This window comes from Homo sapiens, chromosome 1, assembly GCF_000001405.40.
Source record: "Homo sapiens chromosome 1, GRCh38.p14 Primary Assembly".
NCBI lineage: Eukaryota > Metazoa > Chordata > Mammalia > Primates > Hominidae > Homo > Homo sapiens.
The window spans coordinates 153,796,591-153,804,131 of NC_000001.11; the positions used below are offsets into that span (position 1 = coordinate 153,796,591).

The following is a 7,541-nucleotide window of genomic DNA, read 5'->3' on the forward strand; positions in this document are numbered from 1 at the left end:
GCAGAGGGGAGGGTATGGTTGCTGTGGTTGTACATGGGACAGGCAGGCATTTTGAGCACCTATGACTGTGCCAGGTGTGGGAGGGCAGCAGGCTTGAGCCATCCCTGGCTTCCTGGAGCTCACAACCTGAGAGAGAAGGTGGTGCTGCGGGAACCCAGGGTTGGGCTGTGGGCAAGGATTGTCAGGGGCTTCTGGAGTAAGCTACCCCAAGCCGGGTGTTGAAGGGTGAGTGGAGAGAGGCAAGCCAAGGTCAGGAGGTAAGGGCGGGGGCATTTCCTTGGACAAATGCACAAGGGTGAGGACAACAAAGTTCACACAGGCAGTTCTGTGTTGCTGGACCACAGAATGGGCAGAATTCAGGGTAGCAAAGTTAATGTTGGCGAGTAGGCAAGGCACATACCATGAAAGGAGTTTGGACTTGATCCAGAGGGTAGTGGGAGCTCTGGAGGGTCTAGCGTTGGGGCTGAGTCAGCCTGTGTTTTGAACACGTGGCCCCCATACACATGGCGTGTAGATGTGCATGTGTTCGTGTATGTGTCTGTGCTTGCATGTACATGTGCATGTGTGCATGGACACTTGCACGTCTCCTTCTTGGGGTGAGGATGAAAATAGCTTTGTACCTGAGATGAAACACCCAGGATGACCCCACTTGCAGGCCAAATGGGGTGGGAGAGTTTTGTGCCCAAAGTGAAGGCCACAGCAGAGCCTATGAGGAGCTGGTGCCTAGCAGGAGAGGCAGGTTAGACCCTGCCTAAACCAGAGATGCCGCAGGTGTTTGTGAGGGAAAGTCATGCCTGAATCAGCCACTAGGGGGCTCCAGGGTATAAATAAGCAAGTGTACCACGGGACACCACTGCTGCACCTGGGCGAACTTTCAAAACATCTCTGACAAAATCTCACCGAAGGCTATATCTATTTTTTTGTTTTTAGACGGGGTCTCGCTCTGTCGCCAGGCTGGAGTGCGGTGGCGCCATCTCGGCTCACTGCAACCTCCGCCTCCCGGGTTCAAGCGATTCTCTTGCCTCAGCCTCCCGCGTAGCTGGGACTACAGGCGCCCGCCACCGCACCCGGCTAATTTTTGTATTTTTAGTAGAGATGGGGTTTCACCATGTTGGCTAGGATGGTCTCCATCTTTCGACCTCGTGATCTGCCCGCCTCAGCCTCCCAAAGTGCTGAGATTACAGGCGTGAGCCACTGCGCCCGGCCGGTATATAATTTTTAAACTTAAGACTGGCAGGGGAAGGGGGAACGGTTGTGTTTCTGATCTGTAACTGACTTAGAAACTCAAAGCGAGGGTGGGGGTCAGCGGCTCCTCTGCAGGAGCAGAGGAGCCCAATGAGGTCCCTCTGGCCTGTGGTGTTCCGTTCCTATCCACAGTCTGGGGCAGGAGGGCAGGGCAGGAGGCTATGTCTCTCAAGGCTATCGAGCAGACATAGGATTCTGCTGCCCGCGGAGCAGGGAGACGAATGGCCAGAGAGCGACAGGAGGTTAGCAGGAGGAGCAGGCGCCTGTTGGGGGCAGAGGACCAATCAGAAACCGAAGGCTCAAGGGTTGCCTAAAGGAGCTGGTGTCAAGAGTAGTCTTCCCCAGGGGCAGGAGCTGGGGACCAAGGCCCCAAGCCATTCACCCCTAATGCACTCAACTGCACACACCTGGACAGGCACTTACCCTGGGCGTGCACCAGGGTGAGACAGAATTTCCCAGACTTCAAGGAGCTCACAGCGGCTAAAGAGGGGATCCTCTTTGTCAGCTGTTCAGTGCTACCAAGATCCAGGAAGTCCCCCAGTTCTGCCAGTGCCTCTGTCATTGGGCAAGTTACTTAACCTCTCTGATCCTTGATCTTCTCATGTAAATGGGGGAAATAACAGTACTCCGCACACAGGCTGTGGTGAGGGCAAAATGGGACAATCTGTGGGGCTCGCAGCCAATGTCTGGCATGGGGAAGGGGTCGGCCCGGGTGGCCCAGCCTCCCCTCACTGAACTGTCTGGCCAGGCAGGACACAGCCTCTTTGAATGAGGCCAGGAGATTCCAGGGCAGCCCACAGCCTGTACTGCAGCTTGCAAGAGGCAAATGGAGAAGGGCTGGGCCCAAAGTAGGCCTTCAATCTATAGTTGCTGAATAAGTGAATGAACAAAACACAATCCTACACCTTGAGGGATAAAGATGTGTAAGACTTTAGACCAGCCCTTGAGAAACTTTCATTTTAGAAACATTTTATCTGAGACATTCTTAATAAAGGGCATTTATGAAAGGAAAGACACGTTAAGTTCTCACATGATACAAGGTGGTAAAGAAAATGAGGATGATGGCCTATGGGAAGGCAGAGCTCTGTTTCACACGATGTTGTTCACAACTGTGCTCCCAGTGTGAGGGTGCTGCCTGGCACATGGGAGCCCCCAGTGATGACCTGTTGAATAAACTAATGAAACGGGGGAGCATGGCATAAAATGAAGATGTGATTTAGACCCAAAACAAGAGTTACTTTGGGAAAACACATCCTTCCTAAGCAGCTAAGCAGGCTGAGGTCTTAGGAGGCTGGTCATGCTTTCTGAGGGAGCGCCTCCTACTAACTTTGTGGGTGCCTCTACCTGCCCCTCAGGGTGAGGCGCCCAGGGAAGGTGGGGCCACCCACAGGGTTTGTAGGAGGAGAATGCTCTCTCCTCTCTCTCCGCACCCCCAGTCTACCAGACCTTCAGCCTGATAGCTACTTCCATGGGACTTTGGGCAGGTCATTTTTAAAATCTGTAAATTGGGGATGGAATAGCAGCTGCAAAGCACACCTCTGAGGTCTGGTGACATTTGTGGGCTGGAAGAGTGTGCTTGGAGTAGAAGTTGAGTATTGGAAGGAGGTTCTCCTTTCCTGATCCAATTTGCTTGTTTCCACCACACAGTGGGACCCCTGAGGCTGCTGCAGGAGCCAGAGATCCTGTCTGGGCCTCAGAACCTGACCCTCACAGTGCACCAGACGGCAGTGCTGGAGTGCATTGCCACCAGTCACCCTTGGCCGCTTGTCTCCTGGAGCCGCCTGGGTGCGCAGCCGCCCCCCACCCCCTTGCTGTCTCTCAGAGCCCTGTTCCCTCGTCCTATCCCAGCCTGACCCCCCAACGCCTTCTTGCAGATGGCCGCTCCATCGGCGTAGAGGGCATCCAAGTTCTGGACATTCTGGACACAGGGAATCTCATGATCTCCGACGTCTCAGTCCAGCACTCAGGTGTCTATGTCTGCGCCGCCAATCGGCCAGGCACCCATGTCCGGCGCACAGCGCAGGGCGTCCTGCTCGTGCAGGGTGAGCCCCAAGGGCCCAACTGGGTGGGGAGAGTGCTGGAGCACCCCAGCTCCCTGACAGGAGCCTGGATCTGGAGAGGGTCCAGGGCAGGAGGCAAGAGGCTGGGTCTCACGGCACCTTCCTCCATGCTATTGCCTGCCCAGCTCCCCGAGTTTGTCCAGTGGCCACAGTCCTTGTCCAAGCCTCCGGGCAGCAGTGCCATCTTCACCTGCGTGGCCCAGGGCGTCCCTGAGTCCCGTCTGGTCTGGCTGAAGAATGGGAAGGTGTTGAGTCCTGGGAATAACATCAGGCTGACTCACAACAATAGGTACTCGTGTCTCACCACTCCCCACTGCCCACTGGCAATGGTAGGTCCCCCTACCCACCCTGGGCGTCCACCCCCACCTACATGCAACACTCACTACCTAAATCTCAAAAATCCACACCCATCCACAAACCCCCAGCAAGTTACCTTCTACTTCCAGCAATTCCCCCCTCCCCCAGGAGGCTCTGCCCTGACTGCTCCATTACAGGTAATGTCCCCACACAGCCTCCTCCTCTAGGGCCACTCCACTAAGTCTTGGTGGGAAAGGGCTCCCAGTAGCTGAGTTTGTCTTTCTCTAGTACGCTGATGCTGGCAGGGGTTTCAGTTGAGGATGAGGCCATCTATCAATGCGTGGCAGAGAACAGCACGGGCTCCAACCAGGCCAGTGCCCGCCTGGTTGTGACAGGGGGCCCAGAGCCACCCCGTCCCCAGGGGCCTGCATGCCATGGCTCTCTCTACTTCTGCCATTCGAGTGTCCTGGGAGCCACCCCCCCCTCCAGCAGGGACATCATTGGCTACGTGCTGCACCTCCGGCCTGTGGGAGGTGGGTGTGGGTGGGTGGAGAGGGCTTTGACCTCAGAGCAGGGCCAGGGGCCAGGAGTCCCTGGCACCAGCCCATCTCTGCTCCTGACTGCTGATGTCCTGGGTGAGTCCCTCTCACTCTCTGAGCCCCAGTCTCCTCCATGACCCCAGACCCTTCTGGATTCTTCCCAGGCCTCTGGGCCTGTGGTTCTCTGGGCTGGCTGCCTCTGTACATGGTCTTTTGGTGCTTCCTTACTGCTTTTCAGCTTGACTCTAGGCCCTTTCCTCATCCTCATCCTCATCCTTTCTCAGCTTAGCTCCAACTTCTGTAGCTCCCTTCCCTGCTCTCCTTGGAGGCTTGGCTGGCCCAGCCAGGCACCAAGAGGGGCTTCGTCCCCAGTTTGTGAAGGTGTGGGGACGTGGCTAGTGAGAAGATGCTGCTTTGCTCCTCAGAGCCATCTGGCCCGGAGCTCCAAGAGGCCATAAGCAAAGGCACTTCTGAGCACGTCTTCTCCAACCTGGAGCCTGCCACAGCCTACACCATCCATTTGCGGGCCTACTCAGCAGAGGGTGCCAGTCAGGACTCTGCTCCCATCTTTGCCTCCACCATGGGCAGCAGTGAGTGACAGCCTCTCCAGCCCTGGGAAGTCCCTGGCCTCAGGTGGGCAGGGACTGCCAACTAGTTTGCTTGTTTTCCTCTGCAGCCCCTGCTGCCCTGGGCTTCTCCACCAAAGTGCTGAATGCCACCTCTGTGCAGGCCTCCTGGGAGCTGCCACCCCAGCTGGGGCCCATCCAAGGCTTCAAACTTTCACCGCAAGCTGCCTGCTGCCCATTTTCAGGGGCCTCTGCTCCTGGCCAGCAGTGTCAGCTCCTTCCTCTACACAGACCTGGGTGAGGCTCTGAACCTTCCTGTGCCACTCAAGGCCTGCCTTTCTCAGTGTGATCTTGCCCCAGGTACTGAGCTTCCTGGCCCAGAAATGCCCGTCCCCTTCACATTCCCCTGCTCCCGGCAGAACCGGCTGCTCTCTATGACATCAAGCTGCAGGCGTTCAATGGCAATGGGGATGGAAATAGCAGTGCCCGCTGTGTCTCATTGTGTGATGTGCCCCTGGCCACTCCTGGTAAGTGGGGTCTGGTAGGAGGGTAGTAGGGCTGGGGTCAGAGCAGGCCCCTCTGATAGGACCCATGGCTGCCAGTCTTCAGGAAGAGGGCTGGGCTTCACCTCCAACCCTGGTCCTCTCTCTGACAGATGGCACAGTGTCCACAGAGTCCAAGACTGGGTGCTCTTGCAGCCAGGGTGAGAGCAGCCCACTGCCTGGGGTTGTGGTGGGCATCCACGTGGGCCTGGCTGCCCTCATCATTTGCCTCCTCTGCCTCTTCCTGGGCTGGAGACATAGCTAAGGGCCAGGTAAGGGCTAATGTGGGAAATCTGCCAGGGAGACAGTCTGCATCACTGTGGCACAGGGCCAAAGAGAGCAAAAAAGCCCCAATCTACAACCAATCAATTTTACCAATGAGGAGACTCAGGCAGAGAGAGGAAGCCAATTCTTTTCAGAGCTGTGTGGTACCAGGGGCAGGAGAAGGCCTGCCATGAGCCGGGAAGAGAGAACTGGGGCTCCCAAAGCAAAGAACAAGGGCAGCAGAAATGAGCTAGAGCCAGTTCCCTGCCATCCAGCAGCATGAAGAGGGGTCCACCCTCTCCATCTCTGGGGAGCATGGAGCAGGAGGAGGGGTTGGGAGCCATGCGAGGCAGAGGGAGGCACCAGACAGACCACACTGCTGACCCTTCCTACCCGGGCAGCCTCCTCTGCAAACAGGAGTCCCAGGAATGCTGGGCAGTGCCTCGGACTGCCTCGGACAGAACTGGGGGCCATCAAGGCCAGACTCAGAGTGGAGGGAAGCTGGGGGAGAAGACTGAACTCACCACCCAGGTGAGGCGGATTCAGTGATGGGGAATGAGTGGGGGAAACTGGAGTGTTTGAGGCCTTGGTCCAGAGGCCTGACCTCCTTCACCCTCAGGTGACTGTGGAACAGCTGGCCTTGGCCTAGGGCCCTCCAAGTTGGCTCCCTCCGAGATGCCACTAACTCCAGATACACCAAAGAATCTACCTCACCTGTCCCTGTCACCCCAGAGTCAGGAAAGAACCAAAAGTCCCTCAGCTCCTCTCCGGGGAGGGGCAGGACTGGCCATAGTGGGAGAGAAGAGGGTGTGGTTTCTCTGTTCCTCCCAGACCTCAAGAAATGGGAGAATCTGCATCCCTTCCCCCAACACACCAAATAACCTCAAACTAAACCAAGCCCAGCTGGGAGTTACCCCCAACCCAGTTACTCCTGCCTCATAACCCCATCCAGTATATTCACCTCTTCTTGATCCAAATATGAACCTGCCCAAAGACACCTAGCTTTAAGGGTTCCCCACAAAATGGCGGCAGGGGAAGAGGCTCTGTCATCACCTCCATCTCACAACCTGAAGCCCTCCAGTCTAAAATCTGTCTCTGTCTCCTCGTGCCCAAGCTGAGCTCTGCCCAGGGACAGGCGACCTGCATTCCTTGTGGTCCGAGTGAGCAGGTGGGCAAAGGGGGTGCAGAGTTTCTTGCCCCCCTTCTCCCTACAACATGACTCTTAAATATCTGAGCTCATATGAGCTTCTCTGAGCAACCAAATACCCATTTCCCCCTTCCCAGATCCAAAGCACTGGCTCCTCCGCAGGGGGTCCTCCTTACCCATTTGATTTTTATTTTTGAAAGAGATTAGTTTGAGTCAGGGTTTTGGCAGTCTTGAATCGCCTGTAGAATGAGCACAGAGGCTGGGGAGCACTCCCCATCTCCCCTCCCTCAACTCTTGGGGTCTGAAGAGCACCTCTTTCCCACTTCTCCCTCTACCAGCCTATTGGCATCCAGAGCACCACAGTCCCTCCTTATCCAGCTCTGCCATGCTCTAAAGCCAAAGCCCCAGCCACTTCCTCAATCACTCTCTCTCCAAGGCTGCCCAGTATTGTGCCAAAAAGGGAAGGGTCTTGGGGGAAGGAAAGCCCATGGCTTAGAGGACCCCAAAACTGTCTCCTGTGCTCTTATAGAGTAATGCTAGTACCAATGACAAGACTCCAGAAAGGCTGGGCTCTGGCCCTCCACAATAGTGCCCTCTGCACAAGGCACAGCAGCAGCTGTAACTAAAAAACGTGGCTGAGGAGCAAGAGGGCTAAGAATAGCCCCAAACATCAAGTCCTTGAGGAAATGACATCCTCTTCTCTGGTTGGGCCTGGTCTAACTGCTTTGTTGGAAATAAATAACCAAAACGGAAAAAATAAATTAGGATCTGGTTAATGCTTTGGGCTGAAAGGAAAACTTGGGGGAGGGGAGTGATGAGATGGTGAGAAAGTGTAGTTCCAGATCTTTCAGGGGATGCTGCATTCAGATTGTTAAAGAACT

General features: G+C 55.8%; 1 long non-coding RNA gene across 1 annotated transcript; it reads left to right on the forward strand.

Moving 5' to 3' along the window:
• The first annotated feature begins 4,930 nt into the window (after window positions 1-4,930).
• LOC124904425 (uncharacterized) lies at window positions 4,931-6,497 on the forward strand. The gene is made up of 4 exons (XR_007066633.1): window positions 4,931-5,004; window positions 5,127-5,234; window positions 5,363-6,044; window positions 6,133-6,497. It is a non-coding gene; the product is annotated as an uncharacterized LOC124904425 (long non-coding RNA).